The sequence below is a fragment of the Homo sapiens genome, chromosome 1, assembly GCF_000001405.40.
Source record: "Homo sapiens chromosome 1, GRCh38.p14 Primary Assembly".
Classification (NCBI taxonomy): domain Eukaryota; kingdom Metazoa; phylum Chordata; class Mammalia; order Primates; family Hominidae; genus Homo; species Homo sapiens.
In genome coordinates this window covers 78,213,509-78,233,154 of record NC_000001.11, presented here as the reverse complement: position 1 = coordinate 78,233,154, position 19,646 = coordinate 78,213,509, and the positions used below count along the sequence as shown (strand labels likewise).

Genomic DNA, 19,646 nt, shown 5'->3' with positions numbered 1-19,646 from the left:
CACCTCATTAAAGACAACAAGCAAATATATGATGAATAAAATTTCCAGTGTATTTATTTATTATCAACAAATAATTGTGAGAATGAAGCTCAGTATTACTTATTTGCTGAAAGTTAATTTTAAGCATTTACCTGGGATAAGTGCCCATGATAGACACTTTGGGGAGTATAACAGAGCCTGAAACTTGTTCCCCAATATCTATTCTCCCCTTTTTCCACAGCTGAGCACAAGACCACTACAAATAAAGACTGCATTTCCCAACCTCCCCTGAAGCTAGGTATGCACATGTGACTAAGTTCTATCAACAGGATATCAACAGAAGTGTCATATCAGCAACTTCCACAAACTTTCCTTTGGAGAGAGCTGGTCCATATGGTTAGCTCCCTTGTCTCTCCCTCCTTTCTTCTTCCTGAAACAAAGATGCTGCCATCTTGAAGCTAAGGACAACCACACTCTTAGGATGGAGGAGCAGTGAGATTGAAGGAGCCTGCAGCCCCAAGGACTTTTAGAGCAAGAGTCATTATCAGCCTGTCCTGCCTACCTTCCAACTTTTATATGAGAAACAACACACTTCTATCTAGGTGAAACCACTATTATTTTTGGAGGTTTTCTGTTACTGCTGAGCCTAAGGTTCATTGATACAGAAAAGACAACATATTCAGAGGAAATAGGAAATAGTACTCAACTTTAAGAAATATCATAAACTTGAGAAGGATATGAGTAGTATACTTTTTACAAAGCAGAAAATTATGAGTTTCACAAGAGAGATTGAACAAAATATCATTGAAGATGGAAAAAATAAAAGGGAAACAAATCACTTCTGATAGAAGAACATAAGAGAAGGAATCATCGTTCAGGTGATATTTGAGACAGGTCTTCAAAGAAGAATAGAATTGTGACAGATGAAAGTGAGGAGGCATTGAAATAGGAGATGAAAGGCAAGCTAGGCAGAAGGAACAGCATTACAAAGACATGGAAGTGGAAAAGCATGAATTGTGTTCTGGGAATGTTAGATGATTGAGTTTAATAGGAGCACAGGTTGTAGACAGTGATTGTTACTGACACCCAGTGGACCTATTTGTTTATCCTGCTGCATTTTATTTCATGACCTTTGTCACTAGCTGACAGTATATTATTATATTGACTTTATATTGTCTGTTTATTTTCTAGAATTACTAAAATAAAAGTTCTCAAACTTTTTGGTCATTATCAAAAATTAGTAAAAGCCCCAAAGAGCTTTTGTTTATGTGAGTTATATCTATAAATACTTACTGTACCAGACAGTTAAATTGAGAAAATTTTAAATAGCTAAATATTTATTCATTTTTACAATAAATCCATTACATGTTTAACATATTGTATGGGTCAGAGTTCTCTGGAGAAACGGAACTTATAGTGTGTGGGTGTGTGGGGGTGTGTGTGTGTGTATAAGAGGTGATTTATTATGGGAATTGGCTCACGTGATTATGGAGCCCAACAAGTCCCATCTTATGCCATCTGCAAGCTGGAAAACAAGGGAAGCTGGTGGTATGATTCATTCTAAGTACAGGGCCCAAGAACCAAGGGAGTGGAGGGTGTAAGTCCCAAAGTCCCAAGGCCCAGACGTCTGGAGTTCTGATGTCCAAGGGCAGGAGAAAATGGATGCCCCAGCTCCAGAAGGTAAATTTGCCTTTCCTCTGCTCTTTTGTTCTATCTGAGCCCTCAATGGATTGGATGATACCTGCCCACATTTGGTGAGGGCAGATCTTCCTTACTCAGCTCACTGATTCAAATGCCAATCACTTCCAGAAACAACCTCACAGACATGCCCAGAAATAATGCTTTACCAGCTATTTGGATATCCCTTAACCCAGTCAAACTGATACCTAACATTAACCATTACACATATATTCATGGAAAAAACTATCTTTCAAACAAAAAAAATTACAAGAGTGGCATTGCTTTGCATTTTTGTGATGCTCCTTAATGTCTGGCTTCATAGAAGACAACTGGTTTCCTATGTCTGCTTCTATATTCAGTCTGTTTGTGATATCACATGTCAGGTAGCCTCTGGAAAACTTCACTGTACATACTTTTTTTAATGAGAAAATGACAAATAACATCATAACAAATCATTTTGACTTGGCAGACACCTAACAGGGTCTCAGAGACCCTCAGGGTCCCCCGATTACACTTTGAGAACCGCTGAACTAGAATATAAGCTCAGTAAGGGCAGAGACTATATATCTCTTATATCCCAGCACCTAGACCAGTCTGGCACATAGTAGGCACTCAATAAGTACTTGTTAGTTAAATGTATGAACCTGAGGCTATAGTATGAAAGATATTGAGTGCCAGGCTAGTAAGTTTGGAATTCACTTAGTAGACACTAGGCAACCAGTAGAGGTTTCTGAGCAAGTAAATGTAACAGTCTGATTAATCTGACCACACCAAGGAGGACGAGCTGGAGAGAAGAACAACTTGGATCAGAGGTGCCAATTAGGATGCTTTTGATGTAGTCCAAGTGAGTAACAGCAAGGTTCTGAAGTGGGATGAAGACTGTGCAAACTGAAAGAGGAGGATAGAAGTGAGAAATTACTGGATACACTGTATTAGCCCTCAACTAGAAATCCATTAATCTACCTAGGCTTGCCTTTAACTGTGTGATCTTGAGCAAGTCAATCAACTCCTTGTTCAATACACTTTCTTCATTAGTAAAATAAAATATTATATTAAACATGGATTGTCACTTTCTCTGCAACTACTCAAAGTAATTTGCAGATAATAGTTATATCACTAAAATATTAATTTTAAATGTCACAAAATCTTAATTTCTTATTGCTAACTTTTCCTGCATTTACTTATGCTAATATTGGTTATTAACCATGCTTTTTAAAAGTAAGATTAGAGAATCAGTATAAAACTTCAATATTAGTTGAAGTGTTTGCTTAGGAGAAAACCATGTATCATTTATTAAGGCCTTTTAACTTACTTAAATCTCAAGCAATTCCTATGATAGAGTTATTTTCCACATTTTCCGATTCGGAAATATTAAGATATGTACTCAAGACTTCATACCTTGTAGTAACAAAAACAGAATTCAAAAAGATATGTATGATTCTAAAACATATCGTCTTCCTGTAACACTACTCCAAAGAAATTGAGAAACCATTCAAATTTGGATATGTTGTTATTAATTTGGACATCTTGATTGATAAGCATAAAATGTAGCACATTTGGAATCAAACTGATTACCACCTTAATTATCTAGAAATATCACAGAAAAGCCAACTCTACAAGGTTCAACATGGCAGGACAATGGCTATATCCAGATAATTAAAATGTATAGGAAACTACGGGAAAAGGTGAAGGAAAGAGTTAAGACCTTTCAGAAACTTGAGGGAAACAGAAAACAAGCAGACAATCATTTTGTCTTATTTTCAAACCTGAGTACACCACTGAGAAAGAAACAGGCTCTGTTCTTCATCATTTCTTTGTTCATTTTTGGCTGAAGTGGATTTAGGTCCATGCTGGGAATAAATAGGGTAGGCTCTGAGGTGGTTACCAAATCAGCAATGGCACAAGTAGTACTACTCATGAAAACTATTCCAACTGTCTGACTCAGACGTCAGCTCAGATTTCAACTCCCTGCAGCCATTTGGTTGAAAGGATTTCATAATTTTCAAGGAAGCATTTAAAGTTTGTATTTCATCTCAAGGAAAGTAAAGGAAATACTCGTTCTCTGCCTTGGATCGGAAATGTGCTTGATTTTGTAAAGATTGCATAGAGAGAGAACACTTACTTGTAATCTCTTTAAAAAAATTATTTCTCTTTGCATCCCTTTTCTGCCTAACTTCACAGCAACTGTTTGAAGACCAATGCAGTCACCTTTCCTTACCTACTTCTACAGTAGTATATTCTGAAATTATAACATCAGAGCTAATTATTGCTTTATAGTATACTGAGATACATGTATAAACTCCTGATTATTACTCATTTTTTCAGTAAACTTTGCTTGAGAATCTATGATATACCAAGCATTATGTTAGACACTAGGGATCCAAAAATGAATAAAACAGGTCCTTACCTTCAAAGTGCTTATGTTTAGTGGGGAGACAGTCAGACAAGTAAGTAGATATGTCTTTCATTGATGAGTTCATATTAAACAAATATTTTAGCAACTACTATTTTCCAGATGTTCATATCAATGTTGGAGATACAAAGATAAAAATTTACTCCTCAACAGTAAGGTAATACTATCCAGGTAAAGCAAAGAAAAATTCAGAAGGGAAAAAAATATATAGTTTAAAAATCAGAAAGCTATGAGGGTTCTAAAATGAGCCATGTAGAAATGAGATAGACTTTTCCCAGGATAAACCTATACTTTTAGAAATTGGATGCAAGAACATGAAGAAGGTAGTCAGGAGGGCAGAAAAATGGGAAAGGAAAAAGAGAAATGCCGTGGAAGCTCTGCCTGGTGAATTAACAGCCTGAAAATGTTCCTATGTGGCTTTGAGAAAACAAGCCAACTGAGTTTAAAGTGTGCTCCTTTGAGATTTTTCCATGACTTCCATCATGGCTATAGATTAGCAGGTTGTTTATGTGACAATCAAGCCTGGATAATGAGGGTAGGGATGGAGAGAAGTACTGGTTAGTAGCTAAGTGCAAAATTGCCCTAACGTAACTATTCCGGTGAAAAATACCAACTGCTTTTTGGACATATCCTTTTACCCTTTTGATTCCAACCCAACACCGTTCTCTACATTTACTAAGCTTTGGGGTTTCTATTGACTTCCAATTATTTCACTTGAGTAATATTCTTAATTAGTACAAGCACAAGTCCTTTATCGTCTCTGAAACACTGCCAAACTTTACTCTCCCCTCAGCAAGGGAAAACTTAATTAACATTTTGTTAATTTCTAGAATTGTTTCAATTTGCCCTTCTCTGGGGTTTCCACTCGCTCTGAGAAAGGGAAAAAATGTTCATAGATAAAGAATATAGTAGATGAGGCATAAATATTTACATGGAACTAATCCAGTTCTCAAAATGATTTAGAAAACCTAGACTGTTTTCGAAACTATTGTGACAGGTTGTTTATGAAGTATTAACCCACAAACAACAGGGGAGAGAGAGACATGAGATAGCCTTGCAATCCCTTTGTTTACCCTGTAGCTCCCACCCCCACTTTAAACTAATCCTGGCCTCTGCTGCCCCCAGAAAAGCTAGACCATAGTTGAAATGCAAATTGAGGCAAAAGAAGTTAATTTTTAGCTTTTAAGCTTTCAGACATGAAGACTTGGCATAAGCAATACATTTCAAAGACTATTTAACTAGCCATGCCTTCTGTCTCTCCCCATCCCCCAGTGGGAAGAGTAAATAAAACCTTTATGAATTAGAGGAGGTAGCAAGAGTTTGGAGATAAAGCAAAAGATGAGTCCTATTCTTTGCCCACCCCACCCACAGACTTGTGGGATTAAAAGGAGGTGGTTCTCCTGTAAGCCTGAGGATATGAGATGGACCTTAGTGAGAGGGCCTTCAGCCCTGCAGTTCTGTCAGCTACAGACAAGAAAGGTAGACTACAGAACAGGAGTGTATAGAGCCCTGAGTTTCCTCCAAGTCCCTGAGTGGCACAGCACAATGTCTGAAATTCCCATGCCCCAGAGCCAAGGGAGATATAAAAGCTAGCAGAAAAACTATAACTTCAAGGGTCCAACAGTGGGGTCGGCAGACTTCTGAAACAGTCCCAAGATTCCCAGCCCCTGGTGTCAGCCTTTGAGTGTGGGTAGAACTTGTGAATGTGACAAGATTTTACAAGTATGATTAGCTTATCTTACATGGCAAAAGTGAAAGGAATTTGAAGATGTAATTAAGGTGCCTAATCAGTTGACTTTGAGTTAATAAAAAGGGAGATTATCTTGGGAGGTGTGATGTAATCAGATGAGCCCTGAGATTGAAGGTAAGAGAGATTATTCTGCTGGCCTGGAACAAGCCAAGGGTGGTATGTGAGGAAGCCTGTGAGGGCCACAGGAAAGGCTCTGAAGGCCGTCCTAAAGCTGAGAGATGTTCCCAACTGGCTCCTAGCAAGAAGACAAAAAGCCAGTCATACAACCACAAGGGAATAAATTCTGCCAACAGCCTGAATGAGCGTAGAAGCAGATTCTTCCCCAGAGCTTCTGAGTGAGAACACAGCCTGGCTGACCCCTTGATTTCAGCCTTGTGAGACATTAAGCAGAGGGCTCAGCTCAACAGTGCCCAGAATTCCTACCCATAGAAATTGTGAAATAATATTGGGGTGTTGCTTTAAACCACTAGGTTTGCAGTCACTTACGTAGTAATAGAAAACTAATAAACACAGCTAGGAATGAGAATGCAGAGATGGGGTCATGGGGCTAAGCACTGGATGGGAAATGGGTAGCTTGGGTGAGACACTCAAGGCTCAGCAAGACAGCACATTCCCAGAAGACAGCAACAGAGACCAAGATGCTTTTGAAGGAGATATGGGAATCTCCCACCTATCTGAGATGGCATTTGCACCCCTCCCCAAGCCAAGCTTGGCATCAACCCCAGAAGCAAGAAAATTGAAGAAAGCAGTGTTAAAAATCTTAAAGTTAACTAAGTTTAAACCTGAAATATGTGAGAAAAAATGTCAAAAGTGCTTGACACTATTGCTAAGTTGTTGGATTAAGATTTCTGCCTCAGACAGAATAGGGGTTCAGGCTAGACATTTTTAGTTAGAGAGGGAAGGAGAGGTTTCATTTTTACACTGTCAAGTTTATGGTATGTGAAATCCGTCTCCACCCCAACATCTTCTAGCTGAGTCTTGCATCCACTGTCAGGGCCATACTATAGAAACACAGAGCCAAGGGTAAAAGTAATCTCTTCTCTCCAACATTGTTAACCTGAGAGCGTCCGTTTAAAATTAACATCAAGGGCAGCCTCAAAAGTAGTCCCAGAGACTTCCAGGGTCAAATGGAAGAATAAAGCCAGAATACAGGCCATTGCCCAGTCAAACCTAACAAAATGAATACCAAATACATGTTAAAAACCAGGCACACTCAAAACAAGGGACACAACTTCAAGTCAACATTTAAAACAATGACTAGTCAAAGAGAAATAGAAAGATTCCAGAAATCAAGCTGTTTCCTCCCACTACACTCTCCTCCTAACCTCGCCAATCCACCAAACCCATTCTCAAGCAGTACGTGGGGCAAAAGGTAAGGTGACAAAGTCCTGGGAAAATTCACTAATCACCTCAATGAAGCAATAAGTAGATGGAAAAGGGAAGTAGCAGCCAGGAAAATACGGTAGATCCCTTGACAAGGGAATCTTCTTCACTGTAGCTCACCATTTATTTTTTCTAGCCAAGAGAAAGTAAGCAAATGCGGATTCTACCCAAAATATATAAATGACATCAAAAAAGCTATAAGAAAGATGAACAATCCAATAGAAAGAGGGGGTAAAATTCATAAACAGATGTTTCCAACAAGAAGAAATAAAACTGCCAATAAAAAATGTAAAAAAGAGGTTCAACCTCATTAGTAACCAGCAAAATGCATCAACAACACAATGAGATTTTATTTGACACCCAAGAGATTGGCAAACATTAAAAGATAGCTCAATAACCAGCATGTGTAAGGATGTGAAGGGCTGGGGGTTCTCATAAACTGCCAGTGGGAGAATAAATTATAACCCCTGGAAAGAAATTCAGCCTTGTTTTGGGTATAGGAGACAACTGATCTCGCATGTTGACATGGTGCTCTGACTCACTTACCGAATAGCCCTAAGGCTGCTAGTTTTGAGTGGGGCCAGAACTAAAGAAGTCTCTGCAGGAGGTCCAAGCTTGGAGGCGCTTCATCCTGCTACCCACTCCTCATGACCAGGAAATCCAGGGGAACTCCATGTGCCTGTGGTAAAGAAAGACATGGCAGGGAGTCTCTGGCAATCCCTAATAAAGGAATCACAGCAAACACCCCTGGGGTTCTCCTCTGCTGATAACTTCAGTTTTACCTTTTAAGAAATAGCTCCCTGCTTGCTACTGGGCATAGTTGAAATAAAATGCTTGAATGAGACTCCAGCTACCCATCATAAACCAGGTGCTATTTGATCCACAGTTTCTGTTATTTATTGTTGCATGACAAATTACCCCAAAACTTGGTGGCTTAAAACAACAAGCCAGATAACAGAGTTCTCTATGTAATAATCAGAAAGGAGTGATGTGCTGAAATGGTGACTTTTAGATCCCCTAATGGTTTTTAAATTACATTTACAGATTTTAATAATTCAACTAGTGAGTACCTGTGATTCACCTCTCAGATAACTTCCAGATATTTACTGCCTTAAATAGTTGTGTCTATAAAATGTAAGAATGGAGAACCATAGGAATTACAGGAATAGACTGTAGTAAAAAGTAGATCAAGTATTTTCTATATAAATCCTCACTTTCCCAGAATTATGATACTGAGAACATTTTGGAATGCAGTTATTCTGAAATTCATAATGTAAACACAAGTTAGTATTCCTGCTTATTCTCAAGTGAATCTTTACTAGGAAATCAACCTGACAAACTTTGTCTGCAGAGAAAGATGCCAAATGTCTCTAGTTTCTGATAAATACCATTACTCTCTCAGCTGCATCTTTCCTCAGGCAATCACAGAGATAGGTCTCCTGAGAGTGCATTTTAAAGAAAAATAGAATTACAATAACCAGTGCTGAACTAATGACTGATCTTCCATTCCCACAGAGGAGCTATGTGTTCTCTTGTACATCAACATCTGGAGGATACATTCACACTACATCTGTGCAGCCAGACATTGCCAGGCAAGGTGAACAGAAATAAACTAATTTAATCCATCTCTTAGTCTCCCACAACCATGAAAAAAATCCTTAATGAGGAGATTCCAGTTAGGATTTAGAATACTTAACCAAGATTCAAAAATGTTCCCAAATACACTGGTGCACTATAATTTCCAGAATAAGAAGTAGTTCACTGCCATTTTTCCCATCCTGTAAAATCAATATCAACTTTTATTACCCTGTAAGTAAATATTATCCTGTTTTTCAGCTACATCCAACAGAACTTACATACAAACTATTTCAGGTCACTGGCACTGTTTAAATAATCTCTACTTCAAGTCAATGAAAGCAAGGTCAAGGTTTCGGTTTCCTATGGCCCAGGCAGCATCTCTCTGTTCTTTGAGTAATGTCTGGCCCTCCAGAGAGCATCCCATAGGTGCTATCGGAATCAATCTCATTACCTTGCTTGCTTTACTCCTTGCCCCCTTTAAGGACCAGAAACCACAGTGGCTCAGAACCCATTCTTCACCAAGTGACCCACAATTTATCTTCTTATTGTTCAACTTTTCATTTTATTCTTGGCCTAGGTGTGGCTTTCTTGAGCCGTTTCTCTCAGCCCCCTCCTAGCAATATAAAATGGCCATCTCACCTTCAAATTCTCAGATCCCTGCCATTTCCCTGCTTCGCATAACTATGGTAGCACTTACCACCCTGTGTTGTAATTACTGGACTCCTCTCTACATCATAAACTCTTTGGCACACTGTGCCCCACTTAGTAAACCCAGTGTTTAGCATAGTGCCTGACACATGGAAGTTTCCCAATCAATGTTTTTTTAATGAATAACCTGGCTTCTTGGCTATAGCCCTGGATTTTGCTTTTTAAGTCGGCTTCCAACCACACTTTCTTCTCCTAAGATTGGGGCACACTTTTGCTTAAACACTGGCCTGGGCTTCCCGTAGCAGCCCACCCCAGCTGTAAAGTCTTCTGAAATAAGGTAGTGTGACATTCTGTTGTCCCTCCTGGCCACAGCCAGCCTTGTATTCCATGCAGTAACCCTCTCCTTTTTCCCAAGTGAGAAATAAGTATGTGTCCTTGGACATAAAGGTAAAGGTAAAAGAACACAGAAGAATCAGTGCAGATCTATTTCTTCTATTAGAAATATAATTCTAAGAAATGCTATCTGATCTGCCAAAGACTACATACACAGTCTAGCACCTGCCAAGTGGTAGGCACTGTGCTGTGTTTTATGCACATTGTCTCTCTTGGTCCTGCCAACCCTAGGAGAAAGAGATTACTGTCTCCATTTTACAGACAAAAAAATTAAGATTCAAAATATAAATAACTAAACAAATATGATATAGCTAAGTAAATAGAGGAGTTGGAATTCATACCCAGGTCTGCCTAACTCCAATGCCAATGCTGTTTCCACTATACCATTAACCATACCACATGGTCCTCAAATTAGGCTCTACCACATATACCTAACGAACACACTTGAAAGAATGAAAAACATATCTTCAAAATACAAGACAGCAAAACTAAGAAAAAGGTAAGCCTTGGAAAATGAGGGGAAAAAATCCTTTGACCAAAGGAATTTGATGACAGTTAAGATAGACATAGCAACGCAAAATGTTGTAACTCTGGTTGAATGATGGTGTAAGCTTTTAATGAATCATAAATTCAAAATAATTAGGAACATCAGACAGCCTTCATAAATAAAAATCTCTGGAATATTTTTAAATTATGTATAATACTATTTAATCAAAGAGAATCCTACACAAAGACTATACTTTCAGGGATCATTTCTATAGTTCATTCAAGAATGCTACACAACAACCAAGAGTTAATTATAAAATTGTAACATTTTTTCCCACTTACTTTCTTCAAGCACACAAACTGTCCTGCATTCGTTTCTGTGAATATTAAATAACCCAGTCCAAAGGTGACTAGCATGCAAATAACTGTGCAACACAAAATGTTCTGCTACAATCAGATAACAGAACAAGATTAATCAGAGAAAGCATTTTGACTTCAGATAATCTTTGAATACTTACCTACAGAAAGTATTTATTTTCCTTGATCAAATGACAGATAGTAACACAAACAAAATTTACATGAGGGGGAAAATTATGTTCGAGAAAGAGTCGGATTTTTAATATATAAATCTGTGCTTCTTAATCTAGCTTCGAGCTACCTATGACTTGCCTCTTCTCCCCAACTCCCCTCCCCAACCACCTGACTACCTTGATTTATTGCAAGCCACTAAAAAAAAAAAAAAAGAAAAGAAAAGAAAAAAGAAAAAAGTCCACTCACTCCAACATTCCAGCTGCAGTGACCTTATTTTGGTTCCTCAAATGTGCCAGTTTTTTCTCAGGTTGAACCCTTCACTCCATCTGCCTCAGTCTCCCCAGCACATCCCCTGCTCAGCTGTCTCCTCATCCAGCCGGTCCCAGCCTAAGAGTGTTACTTCTTGGAGAGGCCTTACTTGACCACTAATGTCAAGCCCATCTCCCACACTATGCTCTCCTACTGCACCCTCTTCTTTGCCTTCAAAGCATTGGCCACTCTTTACAAAGATATATCCCATATGAGTTTATTTGCTTAACTCACTTCCACACTAGCCCCATGAGGCTAGTAAGTACCTTGCTACTTTGTTCGTCATGTTTATGCAAGATCTAGCACCATGTCTAGCAGTTAGTAGGAGCTCAAAAATATCTGCTAAATGAACCAAAATACATAATGTCCCCCCATCCTTTACCAAGTCAGTCCTCTACCACACTCAATTTTTTAATAAGAAAATCTTTAACATAGAGAAATGAAGATGTACACCACTGTTGGAAGGCTGGGGATCAAAGGTCAGGAATGCCACTTCTGGACAACTCCAAATGCAAGGATTCCAGGGACGTCTGCAACAACAAAATAGGCAAACCCCAGGAAGTCACTAGAGCTGTGTGAGAGCCACTCTACAACCCTGGGTACAATGCTACTTCTTTATTTTCTCTATTTAAACCTGCTTTTTCTCAAGGATAGAAATTTAAGAATTTTTTAAAGAGTTCTTTTAAAAATACGATCGAACTAATAAAGATATTATAAGACAGCAGAAGTTTCTAACATAAGTATGTTCAGAGCCTTGTAGAACTTCAGAGGAAGAAGTAACAGTGTCCCTTAAGAGGAACAGTATCACACTAATAAAAGAGGTGATATCTGTGCTCAACCTTGAAGTATGAATTACAACACAACAGAGAAAAGAAAAAAGACATTCCAGATAGAGGAGGCAGTACATGCAAAGACTCAGAGACATTCCCTCATATAGGGCTCCATCAGGGAAGCACAATCAGTATGACAGGTATGGAATAAGAGATTTATTGTAGAAATTAAACCTAACAGAGTTGTTGGAGAAGCTAGGAATGTAAAAGCCTGGAAGGGGAAGAATGGAGGATCAGGAAAACGTCACTGATCAGAGACAACAAAAAATGGAAACTGGTGGAAAAAGCAATGGAAGGTGGTTGTCTCTGTGTCTAGTGGTTGGTCCAAAGTCGCTGTGGGTCATCAGGTGTGGAAGATTTAAAAAAAAAATCAGGACACAAATCATGAGACAGCAAGGACAAACCTTAAGGTACAAGACAAAGAAGACCTTTAAAAACAAGTTGGAACATACAAAGACAAAGTGCAACCAGCATCTGTCTCTTACTAATAGTGCAGGTGCCGTGTGGAAGAAGCTGGTATTCTTCACCACAAAACACACTTATTCCTGGCCCAGGGCTCAAAGAAGTTGAAAGAGTGGCAAGAGCTGGAGGAGCTGTGGGTCCAGCAGTTGTCCCACATCTTCCAGGTGAGCCGGCTCTGGGCCTTGCATTGCCCTGCTGAGCATGATGCCTGCTGCTTTGCTTCCACCTCCCAAATCCTGCACAAATGTCTCTTGGAACCAACTCTAATGCAGAACCATACAGACGTTAATTCTGAGATTCATAGTTATAGTTCAGCTAAATTGGCATAGTATAAAACCTACATACTTGGAAGATTGTTCAGGGAAGAGCACATAGCTCCTTTTGTTGGAACGAGAGGAGTAAGTTGGGAGAAGATAGAAGAGGAGGAAAATTAACCTATAAAGAAGGTTGGTAAGATCCAAATTCTAAGATCCCTATTTGTTCCAAAAGGGTTTTAATAGTTATGGCTGAGTAGTAATAAAGCACTGTGGCAGACCAGCTAGATGCTCACGAGTCTCATCACCTCTTCTTGAAAACACGGAAAGACTGTATTTCCTGATGTATAGATTGTGAAGATTTTCTCCCACTCTGTGGGTTGTCTGTTTACTCTGCTGACCGTTCTTTTTGCTGTGCCAAAGCTCTTTAATTTAATTAGGTCCCAGCTATTTATCTTTGTTTTTATTGCATTTGCTTTTGGGTTCTTGGTCATGAAATCCTTGCCTAAGCCAATGTCTAGAAGGGTTTATCCAATGTTATCTTCTAGAATTTTTATATTTCAGGTCTTAGGTTTAAGTCCTTAATTCATCTTGAGGTAAGAGATGAGGATCCAGTTTCACTCTCCTACATGTGGCTAGCCAATTATCCCAGCACCATTTGTTGAAAAGGGTGTCCTTTCCCCACTTTATGTTTTTGTTTGCTTTGTCAAAGATCAGTTGACTGTGAGTGTTTGGGTTTATTTCTGGGTTCTCTATTCTGTTCGATTGGTCTATGTGCCTATTTTTGTACCAGTACCATGCTGCTTTGGTGACTATGGCCTTATAGTATAGTTTGAAATCAGATACCGTGATGCCTCCAGATTTGTTCTTTTTGCTTAGTCTTGCTTTGGCTATGTGGGCTCTTTTTTGGTTCCATATGAATTTTAGAATTGTTTTTTCTAATTTTGTGAAGAATGATGGTGGCATTTTGATAGGGATTGGATTGAATTTGTAGATTGCTTTTGGCAGTATGGTCATTTTCACAATATTGATTCTACCCATCCATGAGCATGGGATGTGTTTCCATTTGTTCATGTCATCTATGATTTCTTTCAGTAGTGTTTTGTAGTTTTCCTTGTAGAAGTCTTTTACCTCCTTGGTTAGGTATATTCCTAAGTATTTTATTTTTATTTTTTCTTTTGCAGCTATTGTAAAAGGGGTTGAGTTCTTGATTTGATTCTCCACTTGGTCGCTGTTGGTGTATAGAAGAGCTACTGATTTGTGGCTGGGCGTGGTAGCTCATGCCTGTAATCTCAGCACTTTGGGAGGCTGAGGTGGGTGAATCACCAGGTCAGGAGTTCAAGACCAGGCTGACCAACACGGTGAAACCCCATCTCTACTTAAAAAAAATAAAATTAGCTGGGCGTGGTGGCGCATGCCTGTGATCCCAGCTACTCAGGAGGCTAAGGCAGGAGAATTGCTTGAACTTGGAAGGCAGAGGTTGTAGTGAGCTGAGAGTGCACCACTGTATTCCAGCCTGGGCGACAGGGTGAGACTCCATCTCACAAAAAAAAAAAAAAAAAAGAAGAGCTACTGATTTGTGTACATTAATCTTGTGTCTGGAAACTTTGCTGAATTCTTTTATCAGTTCTAGGAGCTTTCTGGAGGAATCCTTAGGGTTTTCAAGGTAAACAATCATATCATCAGCAAACAATGACAGTTTGACTTCCTCTTTACCCATTTGGATGGCCCATAATTCTTTCTTTTGTCTGATTGCTCTGGCTAGTACTTCCAGTACTACATTGAAGAGGAGTGGTGAGGGTGGGCATCCTTGTCTTGTTCTAATTCTCAGAAGCAATGCTTTCAACTTTTCCCCACTCGGTATTATGTTGCCTGCGGGTTTGTCATAGATGACTTTTATTACATTAAAGTATGTCCCTTGTATGCTGATTTTACTGAGAGTTTTCATCATAAAGTCATGCTGGATTTTGTCAAATGCTTTTTCCGCATCTACTGAGATGACCATGTGATTTTTGTTTTTAATTCTGTTTATGTAGTGTACCACATTTATTGACTTGTGTATGTTAAACCATCCCTGCATCCCTGGTATGAAACCCACTTGAACAGAGTGGATTATCTTTTTGATATGTTGTTGGATTTGGTTAGCAAGTATTTTAAGGATTTTAGCATCTATGTTCATCAAGGATATTGGTCTGTAACTTTCTTTTTTGGTTATGCCCTTTCCTGGTTTTGGTATTAGGGTGATGCTGGCTTCAGAGAATAAATTAAGGAGGGTTCCTTCTTTCCCTATCTTGTAAAATAGTGTCAAAAGGATTGGTACCAATTCTTTTTTGAATGTCTGGTAGAATTCTGCTGTGAATCCATCTAGTCCTGGATTTTTTTTGTTGGTAACTTTTTAATTATCATTTCAATCTCACTGCTTGTTATTGGTTTGTTCAGGGTATCTGATTCTTCCTGATTTAACATAGGAGGATTGTATTTTTCCAGGAATTTATCCATCTCTTCTAGGTTTTCTAGTTTATGTGCATAAAGGTGTTCATAGTGGCCTTGATTGATCTTTTATATTTCTGTGGTGTCAGTTGTAATATCTCCTGTTTCATTTCTTAGTGAGGTTATTTGGATTTTCTCTCTTCTTTTCTTGGTTAATCTTGCCAATAGTCTATCAATTTTATTTATTTTTTTCAAAGAATCAGCTTTTTGTTTCATTTTTTGATGTTGTTGTTTCAATTTCATTTAGTTTTGCTCTGATCTTGGTTATTTTCTTTCTTCTGCTGGGTTTGGGTTTGGTTTGTTCTTGTTTCTCTAGTTCCTTGAGGTGTAACCTTAGAATGTCAGTTTGTGCTCTTTTAGTCTTTTTGATGTAGGCATTTAGAGCTATGAACTTTCCTCTTAGCACTGCCTTTGCTATATCCCAGAGGTTTTGATAAGTTGTGTCATTATTGTCATTCAGTTCGAATAATTTTTTAATTTCCATCTTGATTTTGTTTTTGACCCAATGCTTATTCAGGAGCAGGTTACTTAATTTCCACTTATTTGCATCGTTTTGAAGATACCTTTTGGAGTTGATTTCCAGTTTTCTTCCACTGTGGTCTGAGAGGGTGCTTGATATAATTTCAATTTTCTTAAATTTATTGAGGCTCATTTTGTGACCTATCATACGGTCTATCTTGGAGAAAGTTCTATGCGTTGTTGAATACAATGTGTATTCTGCAGTTGTTGGATGAAATGTTCTGTATATATCTGTTAAGTCCATTTCTTCCAAGGTATACTTTAAGTCCATTGTTTCTTTGTTGACTTTCTGTCTTGATGACCTGTCTAGTGCTGTCAGTGGAGTATTGAAGTCCCCCACTATTATTGTGTTGCTGTCCATCTCATTCTTAGGTCTATTGGTAATTGTTTTATAAATTTGGGAGCTCCAGTGTTAGGTGCATATATGTTTAGAATTGTGATATTTTCCTGTTGGACAAGGCCATTATATAATATAATTATATAATGTCCCTCTTTACCTGTTTTAACTGTGTTGCTTTAAAGTTTGTTTTGTCTGATATAAGAATAGCTAACCCTGCTTGCTTTTGATGTCCATTTGCATGAAATGCCTTTTTTTACCCCATTACTTTAAGTTTATGTGAGTACTTTTGTGCTAGATGAGTCTACTGAAGGCAGCAGATGGTTGGTGAGTTCTTATCCATTCTGTGATTCTGTATCTTTTAAGTGGAGCATTTGTTCCATTTACAACCAATGTTAGTATTGAAATGTGAGGTACCATTTCATTCATCATGCTCTTTGTTGCCAGTGTACTTTGGATTTTTGGTTTTTGCTTTTTAACTTGTATTTTTGTTTTATTTCTGTTATGTGTGATTTCTGTTTTAAAGAGGTTCTGTTTTGATGTGTTTTCAGGATTTGTTTCAGAATTTAGAGCTCCTTTAAGCAGTTCTTATAGTGGTGGCTTTGTAATTGTGAATTCTCTCAGCATTTGTTTGTTGAAAAAGACTGTATCTTTCCTTCATATATGATGCTTAGTTTCACTGGATACAAAATTCTTGGCTGATAATTGTTTTGTTTGAGGAGGCTGAAGATAGGGCCCCAATCCCTTCTAGCTTGTAGGGTTTCTGCTGAGAAATCTGTTGTTAATCTGATAGGTTTTCCTTTATAGGTTACCTGGTGCTTCTGTCTCACAGCTCTTAAGATTCTTTCCTTTGGCTTATCTTTAGATAACCTGATCACAATGTGCCTAGGTGAAGATCCTTTTGCGATGAATTTCCCAGGTTTTCTTTGTGCTTCTTGTATTTGGATGTCTAGGTTTCTAGCAAGGCTGGGGAATTTTTCCTCAATTATTCCCCCAAATATGTTTTCCAAGCTTTTAGAATTCTCTTCTGCCTCAGGAACACAAATTATTCTTAGGTTTGGTCATTTAACATAATCCCAGACTTCTTGGAGGTTTTGTTCATATTTTCTTATTCTTTTTTCTTTGTCTTTGTTGGATTGGGTTAATTTGAGGACTTTGTCTTCAAGCTCTGAATTTCTTTCTTCTACTTGTTCAATTCTATTGCTGAGACTTTCCAGAGCATTGTGCATTTCTAAAAGTGTGTTCAAAGTTGCCTGAATTTTTTTTTTTGAACTATCTATTTCCTTGAATATTTCTCCCTTTATTTCTTGCATCACATTTTGGATTTCCTTGCATTGGGCCCTGCCTTTCTCTGGTTCCTCCCTGATTAGCTTAATAACTAACCTCTTGAATTCTTTTTCAGGTAAATCAGGCATTTCTTCTTGGTTTGGATCCATTGCTGGTGAACTAGTGTGATTTTGGGGGTGTATGGAAAAGGCTTGCTTTGTCATATTACCAGGGTTGGTATTCCAGTTCCTTCTCAATTGGGTATGTTATAAATAAAGTTTTGATGCCACAAAAGAAATAGCCCTTGAATATAAAATTTTCTTTTTAATTCTCAGCAAAACAATGTACTTCTATAGAAGGGTGCACCCTTACAGATGGAGCAATTGGTGAGTGCACACTTGGACAAGGGAAGGGAAGGGGTCCTTATCCTTGATGTACATGGCACCTGCTTCTGTGTTGTTCCCCTATTGGCTAGGGTTAGACTGCACAGGCTAAACTAATTCTGATTGGCTAATTTAAAGAGAGTGATGGGATGAGTGGTTTGGTGGGAAAAATGGTTATGGCAGAGCAGGAAATCGGAATGAGTCAGGGTGGAGAATCAGCAGGTAATCAGAATGAGTCAGATGGAGCAGGTAATCAAAAAAGGTTGCTTTATGGGGAAGTTAAGTTTAAAAGTAGAAGGCAAAGAATTGAACAAACTGACATATTGATTCTTTGAAGAGAAATTTAGAACTCATATCTAACAGGTAGGCTCTGTCAGACCTGTCAGGTCTAGGGCTCAAGGCTGTTGTTCAGATTATTTTGTCCCACGGAGTGTTCCCTTGATGTAGTACTCTCCCCTTTTTCCTATGGATGTGGCTTCCTGTGAGCTGAACTGCAGTGATTGTTGTCTCTTTCTGGGTCCTGCCACCCAACAGGTCTGCCCGGCTCCAGGCTGGTACTGAAGGTTGTCTGCAGAGATTCCTGTGATGTGAGCCATCTATGGGTCTCTCAGCCATGGATACCAGTGCCTGTTCCAGTGAAGGTGGCAGGGGGGTCCAATGGACTCCTTGAAGGTTCTTAGCTTTGGCGGTTTAATGTTCTATTTTTGTGCTGGTTAGCCTCCTTCCAGGAGGTGGCACTTTCCAAAGAGCATCAGCTGTGGTATTATGGGGAGGAAATGGCAGTGGGTGTGGCCTTAGAACTCCCAAGATTATATGCCCTTTGTCTTCTGCTATCAGGGTGGGTAGGGAAGGACCATCAGGTGGTGGCAGAACTAGGTGTGTCTGAGCACAGACTCTCTTTGGGCGGGTCTTGCTGCGGCTGCTTCGGGGGATGGGGGTGAGATTCCCAGGTCAATGGAGTTGTGTACCTAGGAGGATTATGGTTGTCTCTGCTGAGTCAGGCAGGTTGTCAGGGAAGTAGGGGAAAGCCGGCAGTCACAGGCCTCACCCAGCTCCCATGCAAACCAAAGGGCTGGGTCTCACTCCCACCATGCCCCCTCCCCCAACAGCCTCCAGACCATTTCCAGGTGGAGAGCAATATGGGCTTGAAAACCTGCCTCAGGCTATCCGCCTCCCAGATATGAAAGAAAAGGGCTTGGTTCTTCCCCACCTGTGCAGTCTGCACACCAGATGCACCCTCCCCCAAGTTCTGGTCAGGAGGCTTCTCACCCCATTCAAATTGTTAGAAAGTTCAGCTAGAGATTTGCTTCTTCCTGTGTAGTTTTACCCCCTGCTCCTCTCTGGTTGGATCCCTGTGGTGCCAGACAAGAATGGCCTGCTAGGAGACCCAGCCAGCTCCCAGGGCCTTTCTGCTGCTTCCTCTACCCCTGTATTTCACTCAGCTCTCCGAATTGACTCAGCTCCAGGTAAAGTCGGAGACTTCTCCCACAAACAGACCTTCAGCTTCTCTAGTGGGGGTGTGTGTTCGGGAGAGGAGAGTCTCCCTTTCCCACATCCACAGTTGGGCACTCGCAGTTTTGAGGGGTGTCCTGGGTCCTGCAGGATCAGTCTACTTCCTACAGAGGGTCTGTGGATCCTCTCAGGATTGCTGGTTTCTTCTTGCAGTCAATCTGGAGCTAAACTTCACAGTGTGGGCCACCTCCCACTACTCTGTCCAGAGCGGCAATCTAGTCCTGCCTCCCATCTGCCATGATCTTCCGTCTTGCATCTTTATGCAACTTGCCCACTGTATGCCTTTTAATTGGGGCACTTAACCCAGTTACATTCAAAGTTAATATTGATATGTCTGGATTTGTTTCTGTCATCAGGTTGTTAGCTGGTTGTTATGCAGACTTGTTTGTGTGATTGCATTATAGTGTCACTGGTCTATGTATTTAAGCGTGTTTTTGTAGTGG

At 39.4% G+C, this 19,646-nt stretch overlaps 1 long non-coding RNA gene across 1 annotated transcript in view; it reads right to left on the bottom strand.

Annotated features, from left to right (window-relative positions):
- MGC27382 (uncharacterized) overlaps nt 1-3,556 on the bottom strand; it is a 139,866-nt gene extending 136,310 nt beyond the window's left edge. The window contains exon 1 of the long non-coding RNA NR_027310.2: nt 3,426-3,556. This is a non-coding gene — a long non-coding RNA (uncharacterized MGC27382). The remainder of the gene's footprint in view (nt 1-3,425) is intronic.
- Between the last annotated feature and the right edge of the window lie 16,090 nt (nt 3,557-19,646).